The following is a 17,435-nucleotide window of genomic DNA, read 5'->3' as shown; positions in this document are numbered from 1 at the left end:
TCAGGGTGATGGTGAGTAATTTTTTGTCTTCAGTAACCTGGCAGTGAATAAGTATTTGCTTTGTTGCCTTAGGAAAGCTGGCATCTAGCCCTCCTCTGCTGGAAAGGGAGCCTTCCTAATAAACTATTACTTTTTACTTTTTTTTTAAGACAGGGTCTTGCTCTGTCACCCAGGCTGGAGTGTAGTAGTGCAAACACAGTTCACTGCAGCCTCAACCTCCTGGCCTCAAGCGATCCTCCCAGCCACACTAGCTAATTTTTATCATGATTATTTTTTGTAGAGATAGGGCCTTGCCATGTTGCCGCAAGCTGGTCTCGAACTCCTGAGTTCAAGCAATCCTCCTGCCTTGGCCTCTCAGTGTTGGGATTACAGACGTGAGCCACTGGGCCAACCTCTTTTTACTTCTTTCAAACAACGGGCCAGATGCGGTGGCTCACGCCTATAATCCCAGGACTTTGGGAGGCCAAGGCGGGTGGATCACGAGGTCAAGAGATCAAGACCATCCCGGCCAACATAGTGAAACCCTGCCTCTACTAAAAATACAAAAATTATCCGGGCGTAGTGGCATGCGCCTGTAATCCCAGCTACTTGGGAGGCTGAGGCAGGAGAATCACTTGAATCCAGGAGGCAGAAGTTGCAATGAGCCAAGATCGCGCCACTGCACTCCAGTCTGGCGACAGAGCGAGACTCTCTCTCAAAAAAAAAAAAAAAAAAAAAAAAAAAATCAAATAAACCTATCGGAGAAGACCATTTGCAAAGTTCAGACATTGTAAACTGCGACTAAAGGATTTCTGTTCACTCCATTCTCTGTAGCTCCTGATCTCCTCTGATGATCAGTTCACGGGCTGGGAGGATTAGAAAGCCTAGGAGACAGAGGGTCCCATGCTTTAGAACATCAGGGTAGATAAAGACAAATGATGCATTTGGCTCTGCCGTAGTCGTGACACAGAAAGATGTATGGGGAACCAGGCATTTCCGTGAGAAAAGTTAAGAGTGTATATAATCCCTCAAACACAGCCACACTGTTGAAGATTTCCTTACAAGCACCAGAAGGTGTTTACCTGCTTTGAGAAAGATAGGAATCCTCCTGTGGCTAAGTGTTGGCACCAGAGGATTTTATAGTAGCATTAGTGTGGCAAAATGTTATCTGCAATTTCCCCGGGAGTCTTAAGAATGTTTACTATATTAATTGGAATGGTTCTTTCATGAATCTTGAAAGAGTATGGTTTTCAACAACAGGCAGAAGAGAATTGTACTAAAGCCCACAGCAAAAGGGATGTCATCTGTTCATTAGTCATGACTCAGGACAAAGAATGTCACATGATAGGCATTTCCTAATAAGTTGCATTGGAATAAAATGATCTTTGGTCAGTTTGTTCCTGAAAGGTATTTTAATAGGTTTAAATGACTTTTGTTGACCTTCTTACCACTATATATTATACAATACTGTTGGAATTCAATTATGCTATCAAAAATATTTGTTAGAAGGGAGGGAGGAGACTGGTTTTGGTTTGGGGGCAGGGGAAGGAAGCTTAAACACATTTTTATTCTAAAAATGATACAGGGGGATATAGATTACTAAAGCAATTGCCAAATTTTAAATATATTTTTTATCTCAAAAATAGTTTATAACTACAGAGAAGAAAATAATGAAAAATAGTACCTTTACTGTATTTGAAATATCAAATAGACATTCATAATTTATGTACACCTATGTTCCCAGAAAATTCTCATACATAATAAACTCCTAAATCATACCTCATTCTTTCCCAACATGCAAACTATTCAGAATCCTATGGAGGGACAAATATACCTTTATTTTAAAAGTTAATTCTGAGCACTGAAAATAAAAATAAATGGTTTTCCAGTGTTGCAGGGACCATTCTAACAAAACGTAACCAGTGACAAACGACGGCTTCCTCAACAGCCAGAACACTGTGCTCCTCTCCATACGGCTTACTACTCTCTAATAACCTGTTTAATGCCACCAATGTGTTTAATACTGCTCTCCTCTAATGTGTTTGCCCTGCCAGACTATGAGCCCGAGAACAGAAACTTCCTGATTGGTTCACCATTATTCTCCCTGCACCTAGAACAGTGATGAGCTTCTGGCAGATGCTGGCTGGACTGATGGATGGACTGTTAGGTGGATGAGGCCCACTGTCCAGTGGGGCCAGTGGTTTACCTTCGAATGACACATCTACCTAAGAACCTGCTAAGCACATGGGACTGACTGCATGCTTCCCACAGTGCTAGCCCTGAGCATTATGAATGTGTGGCCACCAGTGTTCCAGATATGATTGAAGTCCCAATCTATAGCCTGAAGTGAACACCCTTGATACTTCCCAACTCTTTCCCCAGAACTGTCACAATGCCAGTGAGGATAAACTTGTACCTCTTGGAACCTGAGAGACAGCATGAAGTAAATGGCACCAAGTGATACATACTCTTATTTTGATTCCGTTTGGTTTTGAGATGGGGTCTCACTATGTTGCCCAGGCTGGATTCAAATTCCTGGGCTCAAGCAATCCTCCCACTTCAGTCTCCCAAGTAGCTGGGACTATAAACATGTGCCACCACCCCTGGCCACAGTCTTTGTTTTTTGGGGATGCGGGGAGGCGACAGGGTCTCACTCTGTTATCCAGGCTAAAGTGCAATGGTGTGATCATGGCTTACTGCAGCGTCGACATTTTGGGCTCAAGGCATCCTCCCACCCCAGGCTCCCAAGTAGCTAGGACTACAGGTGCATGCTACCACATTCGGCTACATTTTTTTTTTTTTTTTTTTTTTTTGGAGAGACAAGGTCTTACTATGCTGCCCAGGCTGTAGCCTTAGGTAAAGTGCCTTCAAAGGCTCGTTTTAGCTTTGTCATTTTATGAAAAGTTGATATTCTACTCCCTAAGATATCCATCTTTGTCTTCAGATAAAAATTATTTTCCCAAGTCATCAAGTTGTGCCATGTTACCCAGCCTGTGGCTTGTAGTGTCCCTGACACACCCTTGCATAACGCAGGGAGCCCCTGTGCCCTGTGTGAGAAGCACAGCGTGAAGATGTTGTCCATAATATTGTACATGGAAAAGGTAACGTTAGCCCCCATTAATGTGGATTCTCTCATCTAATTTCCTCTTTTCACCCAGCAAAGTGCCCAGTGACTGAGAATGAGACAGAAGATGAGGGCGTTTGAGGATGAGAAGGAAGAGGAAAGTCATCAGAGCCACCTGGAAGTAGAGGTCTGGTCAGGTTGGCCTGCTTAACCAAGATGGCAGCCAGGGGAGTAGGAAGGATGAAGACATTGCACACATTTGGAGGAAGAAACCAAAGCTGGCATGAGAGGAGTCCTTTCCAGGGCTGTTCAAGGCAACAGGATGCAGGTGGATATGACTGTAGATGGGTGTAAAGACTTACCATTCACTCCTCCAAACTTTCGTTGTATACTTATTATGGGCTAGGCCCTGGGCCTAGCCCCAGAAATTCAAAGACAGACAATTAATATCTACAGTCTAGTAAGGATAAAGACCCATAAAAATCGTTGCAATAAGCTCTCAGATGGAAGCACAGTTGTTAGCAAAGTAGTAACATCTAGCTCAGAATGGGGGGGGGGGGTACAGCGGAGGCTTCCTGGAAGAGGTGCTGCCTGAACTCTCTTAAAGACAAATGGAAGTAGGTTACATAGTGTTTAGCGGAGCCTGGTGCTCCTTGCCTTTGGATTTGTTTCCTTCTGATTTCTAGCCCCCATTAGGGGTTACCTCATGCTTTCAATATGGAAAACATCAACAAATGGGTCTCAATGAAGAAAAACCAAAAGTACACACACACAAGCATCTCAATCACTGTCTCTCTGTTTCTCTCCTCTCTTTCTGTCTCTCTCTCTCCTCTCCCGCCACCCCATTAACAGTATATAGGTACACCATTTATTCTGATTGGTGGCCACTAAATAGAGGGGGTGGTAGATAATAGCATTCAAGGACGGAGGAAGGTTTTAGCAGGTTGTTGGCTCCAGTGTCTCGATTAGGATATGGTCTGAAATATATTCATATTCACATTCTCATAAAGTATGAGAATAAAAGAATTGCCAGAAAGAAGCTTGGAATAATAATAACTCTTCACTACTTCTCTTAATAACAGCTGGTGGGAGGCTTTCTCCTATTTACAAATCCATTGTCATTCTTCCACTTACCAGCCAGGCTGTTTCGCTTGAATCATCATGCGATATGTACATTCATCATGGAAGGTATATACTAGCAGTTGCATGGTGTTCTGGTTGTTTTGTTCTGGGTAGTTTTCCTTTAGTTAATTATCAAGTGCTTACTATGTAATAATCAATGAGTAGCTAATTGGAAGCAAGAGAGAATGAAATGGGTATTATTCAGATAGTGTTTTTAATGAAAAGCATAGACGTAGTACTGTGGGGAAATATCACTAAATAGCAAGAGATTTCATCTGTGTGTGTGTGTGTGTGTGTGTGTGTGTGTGTTTACAAAAGGATTCATTTAAGCCACTCATAAACTAAATCCAGGTATGTGAATCTTTTCTTTTTTTTTAGACTCCTCCCAATGGGTAAACATTGGAAGACACCAGGAGGGAAGCCAAGCCTCTAGAGATTGCTCAGGAACCCAAACCACCCCAAATGGAGCCGGAAGGTCTGTCAATTCCCAGAGAGGGAGGAAATGGTAAGCAAATGGCAGCAGTTGCTTAGAAAATTAGGGAATGAATAACAATGCTTTCTGGTAAATTAACCATATTACATTGTGCAGGGGAAAGCGATAGGAAAACCCTGTTAAAAATTGAATAATAATTTGCCCACATCATTTATGCAAAATGCATAATTTTCCTACTTCAGTGGACTTTAGTTTGATTTAAAAGATGAGCAGCTCTAGGACTATTCACCAAAGCATAATTTGTAAGATAATTGGGAAGGGGAAGAGAAATCAGACTGTAATCAGCACAATCTTTCGTAAGTCACTTCACCTTCCTCCTCTCACCTGCAAATTTTGGAAAATATTTGTTTACCCTTTCCTGAAGTTCTCTAAATGGAAGTGCAAAGCATTAATCATTGTCATTGCTACCACTAAACCATGACCTCACCATGAGAGGGGGGAAAGCCATGTTTCATTCTATTCAGTATTTTTCTGCTCTAATTCAAATAAGTACTTGTTTTGAATAGTGGGGAAAAAAATGGAAATGTAGCAAAGCTATAGTTAAAACAACAAGCTGAGAACAAAAGCAACATGCATGCAGGCAAAGGAGACCTTGGAAGATACACAGATAAAACAAAAAGCTGTGCTTGGCTGGGATTCTGTTTCAGAATCAAATGCAAAATGGAGAATATTGTTCCAACTGTAAAGGTTTTGCAATCTACAATCAGTCAGAATGAAAAGATATCATGTAATCCACCTTAACAGTCAGAAGCTGCACTATTGCTGTGAATTATGATATTTGTTCATGACTAATGTAGATTTTCAGACCTAGAATGGTTGAAGGTGGGCAGGAATTTGTAGGTATACCAGATACCCTTCACTTCAACAGGGCACACCCATGTCAGCTGATGTTTATATCTCTTCCTCTCCTCCTTTTCCCTCCTCCTCACCCCTTGCTCCCCAATCTCATTAGAATCATGAAATTTTTACTTATATATTCATTAATTCTCTTCATCCCCATCTCTCCACAAAAGATCATTATCTACTTATTAAATTCAGCCCTTACACAGTGTCTCATGCCTGTAATCTCAGCTATTCGGAAGGATGAGGCGGGAGGATTGCTTGAGGTCAGGAGTTCGAGAACAGCCTGGGCAACATAGCCAGATGTCGTCTCTAAAAAAATTAAAATTAAAAATTTAATAGGGCACGGTGGCACACACCTATAGTTCCAGCTACTCAGGAGGCTGAGGTGAGAGGGGATCACTTGAACCCTGGAGGTCAAGGCTACATTGAGCTGTGATTGTGCCACTGCACTCCAGCCTGGGCAATAAAACAAGACCCTGTCTCTGAAAAAAAAAATTTTTTTTTTTTTAAATAAATTCAGCCCTTAGAGTTCTACCTTTCAGGGCAAACCTGTTTCCTTTGTTGGACTAATTCCTGTCTCTTCTACAAACTTGCTGGTCCCAAAACGCTGAACTTTGAACCCCACAAATCTCAATACTTCTTATCTGTTGGGTGCCCATTCTGGTTAAGCAAAAGGACCTTCCCTAATCCTAATACTCGTCCCCACTCTTTCCATCTCTATCCCCAACCGCTGCTACTGGCTGAAGATTATTAGATACTAGTTTTGTACCTATGCGTCCTGCCACTTGCTATAAATCGCCTTTATGCAAATCGAAAAAGCTACCCTGCCTCAAGACACTTTGCTGCCATCTGCCAGGAAATTGTTGTAATAAATATGCAAAAGGATAATGACTAGAATGTGAATGGTGCCCCTTAGAATTGTGCAGTATGCAACTGGCACAACTATATGTGACAACCCTGTTGTTTGAAATCACCTGAACTCTCCTGGAACCCTGTGTAAAAATCACAACCACCATAGGTCAGTTTTGCCTTTTCATGACAGTTTGCCACTTCAAAATCTAAATCTTCCACCATGATCAGAAATTGCTGAGGGGCAGTTTCTAGGAGAGACAGAGTCCCCACGCAGCAGTACCTATAAGATTATAGGGCTCTTCCAGCATTCAGCCCAAGCTTTGACCTGCTACCTGGGCAGATACAACCCAAACCATACTTGGTTGATTTTCGGGAAGCATCCAAGTTAGAAAGCTGGTAAGGCTGAATGTTGGGGTGCAGGGGGAGGTAGACCTAGCTTACATTCAGGTCAGCCATTACCCATCTCTGGCTTTGGCGGCTTCATTTCTTGTTGATTGCCCCATCTGTTCTCCTCCCTCCTTCCCATGCAGCACAACCTGCACGTACTGGTGATCTCTCACTACATAACAAACCACTCCAAAACTTAGTGGCAGAAATAGAAACAGTCATTTATTTTGATCACGAGTCTGCAATCTGAGCAGGACTCATCGAGGCCAGCTCACCCCTGTTCCACACGGCATCAGCTAGCGCAGCTCGGGTGTGGCCGGAGGAGCTGCTATCACAAGGGCTCTTGCATTTCACAATGGCTCTGCATCAACACACTGCTACGTTGATGCCAGCTGTTGACCTCAGGAGCTCAGCTGGGGCTACTGATAGGCGCTTTTGTTCCTCTCCACTTGGGCTCCCATGTGTGCGTGGACTTGCTTACACGGTGGTACCCATGTTGAACTACCCCAGCTGACTCATCATTAAGTAGAGACAAGCTGGACCCACCCAGCTCTGCCCAAATTTCAAATTTCTGAACAAAACAAATGACTGTGGCTTTAAGCCATTAAACCTTGGGATAGTTTACTTTGTAGCAATCAATCAATAGAATGTATACTCTATGCTAAATGTTGCATGAATCCATTCCCACATCTTTCTAGGGTGCCTCCTGGTGCTGCAGAGTCTAGGAAGCTAAAAACTACACTGCCCAGAGTCTCTTTTCATTAGGATCATGATTGTGAGTTAAGCTACACCAATTAGACTTATTTGCACAAAGCTTGGAAGGCAGAGGCCAATGTCTTGCAGCTTTTGGCTACTTTCTGCTGCAAAGCAAGATCATGGAGCTACTGATAGCCACTCTCCAGCTTCATGGGCATCAAGAATCTTGTGGACGTGGCAGTGGCTAGGTTCCTCTGCCTGGCAAATGCGGTGGTGGCAGTAATTCACGCTGTTCCTGGCTTGCTGACCACTTTCTGGCCTTGTCTTGCAGCCATGATGTTCTTGCAGTCAACAGTCCCAGTGGCAGCTTCCTGAGTCCTCCTTCCTGATTGTGGCAGAGGTGATAGCACCCCTGACAGATTGATTTTACCACATTCTGGGAGCCATCCTCGGAGGCCCAGCCTAGAGCCCTCTCTTCCAGCCTTTCCAACAAGTTTGCAATTCTTCATGTTATATTCTTTTTTGCTTAAAAACTCTAGCATGGTTTCTATTTCCTACACAGAACCCTGTAACAGATATCCAGGTGATCCCAAAGTTTTGTCTCTTCTCAGTCTTTCTTTTGTTCTTGCTTGTTTGCTTTCTCTCATTTAATCATTCCTTTAATAAATATTTATGGAATGTCTACTATGGGCCAGGCACTGCACTAGACCCTGGAGAAAAATCGATGAACTAAGCAGACATGGCCTCGCCCTCATGAGATGAGGCAGGGCAAAGACCATGAGGCAGCAAAAGACAACCCTTGGGTCCAGTCGGCCCCTGCTTGTTTTTGTATATAACGTTTTCTTGAAACACAGCACACTCATTCATTTATGTCTTGTCCATGGCTGGTTTTGCCCAACAATGGTAAAGTTGAGTAGTTGCAACAGAGACTATATGACCTACAATGCCGAAAATACTTACTATCTGGCCTTTTTTAGGAAAAGTTTGCCAGCTCCTGTATTAGATAAATAAAACGCCAAGTCATACTCCTTTGGTTCCCCACAGCCAATAAGTTGCTCTTTCTGTCAATTCTGCGGACACCAGGGGTCCCCAACCCTTGGGTCATGGAGTGGTACCAATCCGTGTCCTGTTAGGAACCGGGCCGCCCAGCAGGAGATGAGCGGCAGGTGGGTGAGCATTACTGCCTGAGCTCCACCTCCTGTCAGATCAGCAGTGGCATTTAGATTCTCAAAGGAGTCTGAATCCTATTGTGAACTGCATGAAAGGGATCTAGGTTGCAGGCTCCTTATGAGAAGCTAATGCCTGATGATCTGAGGTGGAATGGTTTCATCCCGAAACCCTCCCCCCACCCCCATGCCCACCACCAGGCTATGGAAAAATTGTCTTCCATGAAACTGGTGCTGGTGCCAAAAAGGTTGGGGACAGCTGGCAACACCACAGCACCATGCATGGTGCTAAGCACTTCATGAGAATCCTCTAAGTTAATTCTCAGAACAACCTTTGGGATACATTATTATTATCTCTGTTCTACAGACAAGGAGACTGAGATTTAGAGAGATTTGGGCTTAGGTGACTGGGAGGATGGTGATATGGAAAAGGAATAGAAAACAGGCAGAAGATGACAAGCTCAGTCCGAACTCACAGCACATGAGGCACCTGCAGAGAGGCACACGGGGCTATCCCGGTAGGTTTCAGGCTTGGTGTGAATTTCAAGTCTGGACAGCTTTTAAGTTCAAATCACAATTCTACCATTGACTAACTAGCTGTGTGACTTTGGGCAAGTTACTTCACTTTCCCTTCTGGCTTCTTTTATTTTTTATTTATTAATTTTTTTTTTTTTTGAGATGGAGTTTCACTCTTGTTGCCCAGGCTGGAGTGCAATGGTGTGTGATCTCGGCTCACTGCAACCTCTGCCTGCCTGGTTCAAGTGATTACCCTGCCTCAGCCTCCCGAGTAGCTGGGATTACAGGTGCCAGCCACCACGCCTGGCTAATTTTTTGTATTTTTAGTAAAGACGGGGTTTCACTATGTTGGCCAGGCTGGTCTCGAACTCCTGACCTCAGGCGATCCACCCACCTCGGCCTCCCAAAGTGCTGGGATTACAGGCTTGAGCCACCACACCTGGGCTATTTATTAATTTTTTAAAGAGACAGGGTTGCTCTGTCACCCAGGATGGAATAAAGTGGTACAATCATAGCTCATCACTGTAACCTCAAACTCCTGGGCTCAAGCCATCCTTCCACCTCAGCCTCTCTAGGGGCTAGGACTACAGGCATGCACCACCACACCCAGCTAATTTTGTGTGTGTGTGTGTGTGTGTGTGTGTGTGTGTGTGTGTGTTTTCTTTGGTCCAGGCAGGTCTCAAACTTCTGGACTCAAGTAATCCTCCCACCTGAACCTCCCAAGGCACTGAGATTACAGTTTTCTCATAAATAAAATGGGCTCTTGTGAAAACTAGAAAAAGTAATATGCAAACAGTATCTAGCATCATAGGGGCTAGGTACACAGATACATGTGCCAGGTATATGGTACGTGGTATATGTTTGATACGTGTTGGCAACTTCTCCTTCCCCTTCAGTCTTATCCTTCACATGGTAGAAAGTAATCTTCCAGAATTACAGCTTTAATTATGTTATTTTCCTCCTCAAAAAATGTGGTAGTTCCCACTGACCCCCACTGTCATGGAAGGAGACCTGTTTGGAGGACCTGCCCAGCCACGCCTCTTTCTTTCAACTTCCACACACACTATCCCCTCTATTGAAGGGTGAGCACAGTAGGTTGTGTTTTCACTGTATAACACCCCCACCCTGCCCCCGACCAGAACAGCTGATATTTGAGGGGTAGACACCTGACCAAGGGACAAACAGTCCATTGGCCACTGGCTAATCAAATTGTCTCTGTCCAGTTGGATCCAAGAATCAAGAGACCGTGGTGACAGATGCTTGGCCTGCAGGTTGGCTTAAGTCAGGGCTAGAGTTGCCCTATGGGTGATCAGATGACACAGCGTGCAGAGAGAAGCAGTGGCAAGAAACCATGGGCCACCAGAGAGAGTGACTGGGAATAGCTACTGTCCACGCTCTAGCATCTGGAGGTCCAATAGCGCTACCCCACATCATTTCTGTGAGATTCCTCTGAAGCATTGTGTACATCAGCTCTTTACTTGAGCAAATCCAAGGGAGTTTGGTCCACTACAGTCTGGCTCCACTGTCTGGCCAGGCTCATCTGTCCCATCACCTCCACCATCACCCCTGCCTTATCTCCTGGCTACACTGAGTTACCCACAACTCTGCAAGCATGCTCTGCACTGCTCCTTTCTTTCCTCCTTCCTGGACTGTTCTTTTTCCCTCCCTCCTCTTCTTAAAAGCTTATCCACTCTTTGAGACTCAACTCAAATGTCTAGTGATGGCCACCCTCTGAGAACGCCCTGCTCCTGGCTCTGGTCTTTTGAAGGCAGTCACTGCACAGCACTGCTGGCTGCAGTTGTTAGCATACATCCTTGAGTTTTGCTCCTTGCCACTAAGCTCACTGAGGGTAGGAACCTGGCACACATTAGGACTGATATATGACAATGAATTTAATCCAAGGATTGGAATCCTGAAACACAAGCTGAGTTTCTTCAATAAAGAGAATTGTGCCAGTAGAAGGCATTGTTCGTTAAAATGGAAATGCATTTAGAGAATACTTCAGATTAAAGGGATGAAGATCAAAGGGCACATTTTTGGCCAGGAGTTCTGAGTCTTAGAGACCCAAATAAATTGTAGACTTTTTATTTCCTGAATTGATTGGAACCATAACACTGGATTTGGTGCTGTAATATAAAACTTTCTGGAACTTTTAGCCTGGTGGGAAGGCTCTGCTGTAAGCGTTAGGATTGCTCTTGTCTAAAATTAAAGCACCCACGCCTATTGCTGAAACTGGCTAGTACACATGGAAGGCCTGATTTAGACTTCCACGGTTGATCAGGGAACCATCAGAGCCCTACCTTAGCTGAAGTTACAGACATACCCTGCTTCAGACTTATCAGGAGAGGGTGTGTCTATATTACATGTGGACACACGTCCACTCCGGTTCGAGATCCTATGGCCCACGTCAAGAACAGAAAGCAGCTGCTCATGCAGACGGTGTGTGAAACATTAGCTGCGTTTTGCAAACATGTAAGAATTTCCCAGTGAGAATCTTGACCGCAGATGTGGGCCTGGCAGCTCCTCCTGGGCCTTGTGCCTGGGGCTCAGCCCTGGGGATGCTGTTCAAGCTACACTTCCAGCCTGGCTCAACATCTGACTGTCCCTCTGTACAAAGGGGCTGGTTTTGAGGTTCTGGGTCACAAGGTGGATCAAGCCCTTGCCCCTTATCCCAGGGAGGGAAACTCCTAACAGCTGAAGCAAAGTCTGCTTTATCACACTGACCTCTGACCCTTCTCAAGCTTTCTGAACAAACCTCAACCAGGTTAACCTAAAATCACCATTCTCAAATCTGCCTGTGCATGACCTAAGGGAATCTTTCATTAATTTTTTTTTTTTTTTTTTGAGGTAGAGTCTTGCTCTGTCGCCCAGGCTGGAGTGCAGTGGCGCAATCTGGGCTCACTGCAACTTCCGCCTCCCGTGTTCAAGCGATTCTCCTGCTTCAGCCTCCCGAGTAGCTGGGATTATAGGCAAATGCCACCATGTTCAGCTAATTTTTGTATTTTTAGTAGAGATGGGGTTTCGCCATGTTGGCCAGGCTGGTCTCTAACTTCTGACCTCAGGTGATCCGCCCGTCTCGTCTCGGCCTCCCAAAGTACTGGGAGCCATCACACCCGGCCTAAGAGAATCTTTTAAAATGCAGGTTTTGATCCTTTAGTTCTTAAACATGACAATTGGATGTTTATGCATATGTGTGAGATGTGTCACCCTTGAACCTTGTTACCATGTCTGCACATTACCTATCTGACATGAAAAAAAAAAGAAAAATGCAGGTTTCTCAGCCCCTCCCAGACTTACTGAATAAGGCTTTCTCAGGCAGAAGGTCATGAATTTGTCATTGAACATGTCTTAGTCCATTCAGCTGCTATAACAAAAATACCATAGACTGGGTGGCTTATAAACAACAGAATTTTTTGTTGTTTTTATCTTTTTTTTTTTTTTTTTTTTTTTTGAGACGGAATTCTCACTTTTTTGCCCAGGCTAGAGTGCAGTGGAGCAATCTTGGCTCACTGCAACCTCCGTCTCCCAGGTTCAAGCAATTCTCCTGCCTCAGCCTCCCAAGTAGCCGGGATTACAGGTATGTGCCACCACATCCAGCTAATTTTTTGTATTTTTAGTAGAGATGGGGTTTCACCATATTGGCCAGGCTGGTCTTGAACTCCTAACCTCAGATGATCCACCCACCTCGGCCTCCCAAAGTGCTGGGATTACAGGTGTGAGCCACCATGCCTGGCCTGTTTTTGCCTTTTGAGAGTTGGGGTCTCACTCTGTTGCCCAGGCTCGTCTCAAGGTCCGACCTAAAGTGATCCCCCTGCCTCAGCCTCACAATTAGCTGGGATTATAGGTGTGAGCCATCATACCCAGCTAGAAATTTATTTCTTACAGCTCTGGAGGCTGGGCGGTCCAAGATCAAGGCACCAGCAGGTTTGGTGTCTGGTGTGGGCCTGCTTCCTGGTTCAGAGATGGTGCCTTCTTTCTGTGTCCTCACCTGGTAGAAGGGAAGAGGGAGCTCTCTGGGGTCTCTTTTATAGGGGCACTGCTCCCATTCGCAAGGGCTCTGCTCTCATGACCTAATCACCTCCCAAAGGCCCCACCTCCTAATACCGTCACACGGGGTGTTAGGATTCCAACTATGAATTTGGGGGAATAGAGCATTCAGTCCCGTATGCCCTTTTCTCCTCTCATTTGCCTCCTGCTGGAAACTTCTGGCAGCAGAACAATTGCATGGCATACTTAGGGTTCCTTTTGAGTCCCTCTTGCCACAGCCCCAGTGGCCCAGCCATGGAAGGCTCCTGCCCTCAACTCTGTTCTGGGCATCCCTGTCAACCATCTCACAGTCTGCCCCTGCTGGCAAGGAGGGACACAGAAGGGGGCTGGTGAGCAGACACTCCAGGGCACGGGTGCAGATCCTCCTCTCCAGGCAGGGCAGCAGGGCAGCCTCAGCATGGGGCCTTCAGCTGTTGGAGAAGCCAACCAGGCAGGTCAGGCGGACTTGGCATGACTCAACTGCTGAGAAAGCAAGTCGCTGATACAACAGGGACTTGTGAGCTGGGAACAGCCATGAAACTGGACTGGGGATCTGGGGACCTGACTCCTGTCACACCAGGTGAGTCTGCCCAGCTCTCAGCTCTTCCCCTACTTGATTTGAGGCTGCAGGGCCTGGGCCTTCACACCAGCACTTCAAGGAGGTGCCACCCTGTTGGGTTTGATGAGCCTGACCTCCAGCAGAGAGTCCCAGAAGATCACAGACTTACAGGGTATGAGGGACTGTTTTTCAGGGCAAGCCCCTGGTTTTGTAGATGAAGCTGTTCAGAAAATATACTGAAAACTCCCACTAGCTTTATTCCTGTCCCCTACCTCATCCTTGTCAGAATGTCTCCACGTGGAATGGTGTCCAGTGCCCTCTCCCTGGGCTGGCCACACTTTAGGATGCCCCACCTTGATTCTCATGCCCTCTTTTGATAAATGCAACTATCTCAAGTACCTCGTCTTACCCTTCCAAGATTCAGATAAACTCCCCCAGGGGTGGGATGGGACCAGGGTGGGATGGCGATGCCCTGTAGAGGGCAACCTAGCCATTAACAGGGACTTTCTCCAGCCGCTGAATGGAGTCTTGCTCTGTCACCCAGCCTGAAGTGCAGTGGTGCGATCTCAGCTTACTGCAACCTCCGCCTCCTGGATTCAAGCGATTCTCCTGCCTCAGCCTCCCAAGTAGCTGGGACTACAGACATCTGCCACCATGCCCAGCTAACTTTTTGTATTTTTAGTAGTGACGGGGTTTCACCATGTTAGCCAGGATGGCCTCCATCCCCTGACCTCATGATCTGCCTGCCCCAGCCTCCCAAAGTGCTGGGATTACAGGCGTGAGCCACCGTGCCTGGCCTCGTTTGGTTTTCTTAAAACCGAAAACCCTCAGGCAGAATTCTCCACTGCCTCCCCCACACAGGGGAAATCCTGCAGTGTGCCTTTTGCCCAGGCCACATCACATTTCCAGCTCTTCCCCTGGCTGGCTGCTTCCTCCTGAGCTTGCTGCTGACTCAAGCAACTGAGAGGGCAGGGGCTGAAAATTTAGTTAAATGCAGATTCCTAGACTCTTCTGATTTGGGGTGAAACCTAAAAATCCAGATTTAAATTTTTTTTAAAAATTTTTTAGAGACAGGGTCTCGCTCTGTCACCTCAGTTGGAGTGCAGTGGTGCAATCACAGCTCACTGCAGCCTCAATCACCTGGGCTCAAGTGATCCTCCCACCTCAGCCTCCCGAGTAGCCAAGACTACAGGTGCACACAACCATGCCCGGCTAATTTTAATTTTTGAATTTTTTGTAGAGACAGGGTCTCACTATGTAGCCCAGGTTCATCAAGCAATCTTCCCACCTTGGCCTCCCAAAGTGCTGGGATTACAGACATGAGCCACCAGTTCAGCTACATTAAATACATAATATTTTTCTTCTTAATGGCACAGTAATATATGTGTACAACCTAGTCAGTGTAAAAACAATAAACACTACAGATAAAGCAGTGACCCCCCACACACACTTCTCAACATCATACCTTACCAAAGGTAATCACTTATCAACTTGGTTTGTATCTTGGTTTGTATCTTTTTTTAAATACATTTACATAGACATGCCTTTCCTTTACATAAATGAAATCTTACTGCACATATTGTTCTGCATCTTGACTTTTCATCAAACAGTATGACTCAGAGAATTTTTCTCGCTTCTTTTTAACAAATAATATTTATTAGTATGCCATAAGGTGGAAATGGCATCATTTAACCATTCTTCTGTTGATGGATATTTAGGTTATTTCCAGATTTTCAGTGTTACAAACAACGTTACATCCTTGCCCTTTTTATGGACATCTGTAAGGCTTTCCCTTGGAGAAATATCTAGAAGTGGAATTGCTTCCATATTAATTTTAATATATTATTAAATTTAGTATCTCCTGCTGACTTGTTCCATTAAACTCCTTAGTGTAAGTGAGTAATCATCTTCCTATAATCTTCATTTTTAATAAGTTCCAGATGATTTTGATACCAGTGTCCAAGGACCATATTTTGAATATGTCAAGTAGTGGTTTATCATTTGACTATTGCTACAATAATGCTAGGCTTACAGAAATTATTCCAAAACTTAACGGCTTAAAATGACAAGTTGGATTTTTTTTTTTTTTTCTCATGGGTCTGCAGGTAGACCAGGACCCTGCTGTACTTGACTGGACTCCAGGCTCAGAGTTCCAATTTGCCCACGGCAGAACTTGGCTGCAGGCTTCAGGTCAAGTTCAGGTCTGTTTCACAGTGTTTATTCTGGGCCCAGGCTGAAGGGGGCAGTGGCTTCCTGGGAAATTCGTGTCTTATGGCTATCACAGAAGCCCTCAGAGCTAAGTTAAGCCTTTCAAACTTTCAAGACCTCAGAGTGCATCGCGATGTCTCAAATTCCATTGGCCATTCTAATAATGTGGCCAAGCACACATCAATAGGTCAGGACATATTCCCTGTACTTGAAGGGTGGGCTCTGCAATGTTATGACAAAGGGGAGTGAAGAGTCACGACCAAGTCTTTCAATCTCATCTACCGTAGTGGTGAAGGGCACAGGCTTTGGTGCCAGAAAGAAGAGTTGGTTTGAACCCCTGCTTCTGTGACACTGGGGAAATTACCAAATACAGAGTTACTCTTCCTCATTGTTGTGTTGAGATGATCCTCACCAAAAATGAATTTTAGGAGTCAACTTTCATATTTGGTTTAGAGGAAACCAATAGAAGTCAAATGTCTTTTCTTTTTTTTTTTTTTTTTTGGCACAGCTTCCCACTCTGTCACCCAAGCTGGAGTGCGGCGGTGTGATCTCGGCTCACTGCAGCCTCCACCTCCCAAGTACAAGTGATTCTCCTGCCTCAGCCTCCTGAGTAGCTGGGATTACAGGCACGCACCACCATGCCCGGCTAATTTTTTTTTTTTTTTGAAACGGATTCTTGCTCTGTCGCCCAGGCTGGAGTGCAGTGGCGCGATCTCGGCTCACTGCAAGCTCCGCCTCCCACGTTCACGCCATTCTCCTGCCTCAGCCTCCCGAGTAGCTGGGACTACAGGCGCCCGCCACCACGCCTGGCTATTTTTTTCTATTTTCAGTAGAGACGGGGTTTCACTGTGTTAGCTAGGATGGTCTTGATCTCCTGACCTCGTGATCCGCCCGCCTCGGCCTCCCAAAGTGCTGGGATTACAGGCGTGAGCCACCGTGCCCGGCCATGCCCGGCTAATTTTTGTATTTTTAGTAGAGATGGGGTTTCACCATGTTGGCCAGGCTGGTCTCAAACTCCTGACCTCAAGTAATCCACTCGCCCACAGCTTCCCAAAGTGCTGGGATTACAGGCGTGGGTCACTGCGCCACGCCAGAAATCAAATGTCTATTTATAATATGGAGTTTATTAAGTAGATTTCAAAACTGCTTTGCAGCAGCACAGCTCTTCAGTTTTCCTGTGAAACACACATTACCCTAAGTTAGAAAACCAAGTCATGACTCCCTCACATGCTCTTGTTAATATGCCATTCACACCTTCCTTTGTGTTCATTCATAATTGGAATTTAAAGAGATTCACTTATTTCTCACTGTTTTATTCCAAAAGAAAAAAAATACAGCAATTACCATAGTTCCTTAAAAGATTTAAATTTTTAAAAGTACAACCTAAAATTAGATTCATGGTGTCTTCCAGTAATTTTTATCTATTTTCATTTTATTTTTGAACTTTTTATTGAACTATAAAGCATTAATATACATAGAAACATGTTTTTTAATTAAACAGAATCAAAGATTTTTTATAATTAC

The 17,435-nt window shown here is 44.9% G+C and overlaps 1 long non-coding RNA gene and 1 other non-coding gene across 3 annotated transcripts, besides 1 other annotated feature; both read left to right on the top strand.

Annotated features, from left to right (window-relative positions):
* Window positions 1–2,804: 2,804 nt before the first annotated feature.
* Window positions 2,805–16,358, top strand: LOC105377944 (uncharacterized). 2 transcript variants are annotated; one of them, XR_942874.3, is made up of 3 exons: window positions 2,805–3,371; window positions 4,544–4,670; window positions 15,809–16,358. It is a non-coding gene; the product is annotated as an uncharacterized LOC105377944 (long non-coding RNA). The 2 variants fall into 2 exon arrangements; XR_007059709.1 differs by lacking the exon at window positions 15,809–16,358 and adding an exon at window positions 4,181–4,231 and having other exon boundaries at window positions 4,544–5,740.
* LOC124901539 (small nucleolar RNA U13) lies at window positions 12,267–12,367 on the top strand. The gene has a single exon (XR_007059970.1). It is a non-coding gene; the product is annotated as a small nucleolar RNA U13 (small nucleolar RNA).
* Window positions 15,814–16,108: a silencer, noted in NCBI's record as "tiled region #7524; HepG2 Repressive DNase unmatched - State 4:PromP". NCBI's record gives its function as "represses a minimal TATA promoter and a strong SV40 promoter by Sharpr-MPRA in HepG2 cells {active_cell/tissue: HepG2}" and the evidence as "EXISTENCE:reporter gene assay evidence [ECO:0000049][PMID:27701403]".
* Window positions 16,359–17,435: the final 1,077 nt, after the last annotated feature.

This window comes from Homo sapiens, chromosome 6 (genome assembly GCF_000001405.40).
Source record: "Homo sapiens chromosome 6, GRCh38.p14 Primary Assembly".
Classification (NCBI taxonomy): domain Eukaryota; kingdom Metazoa; phylum Chordata; class Mammalia; order Primates; family Hominidae; genus Homo; species Homo sapiens.
This window is presented reverse-complemented; position numbering and strand designations above follow the sequence as displayed.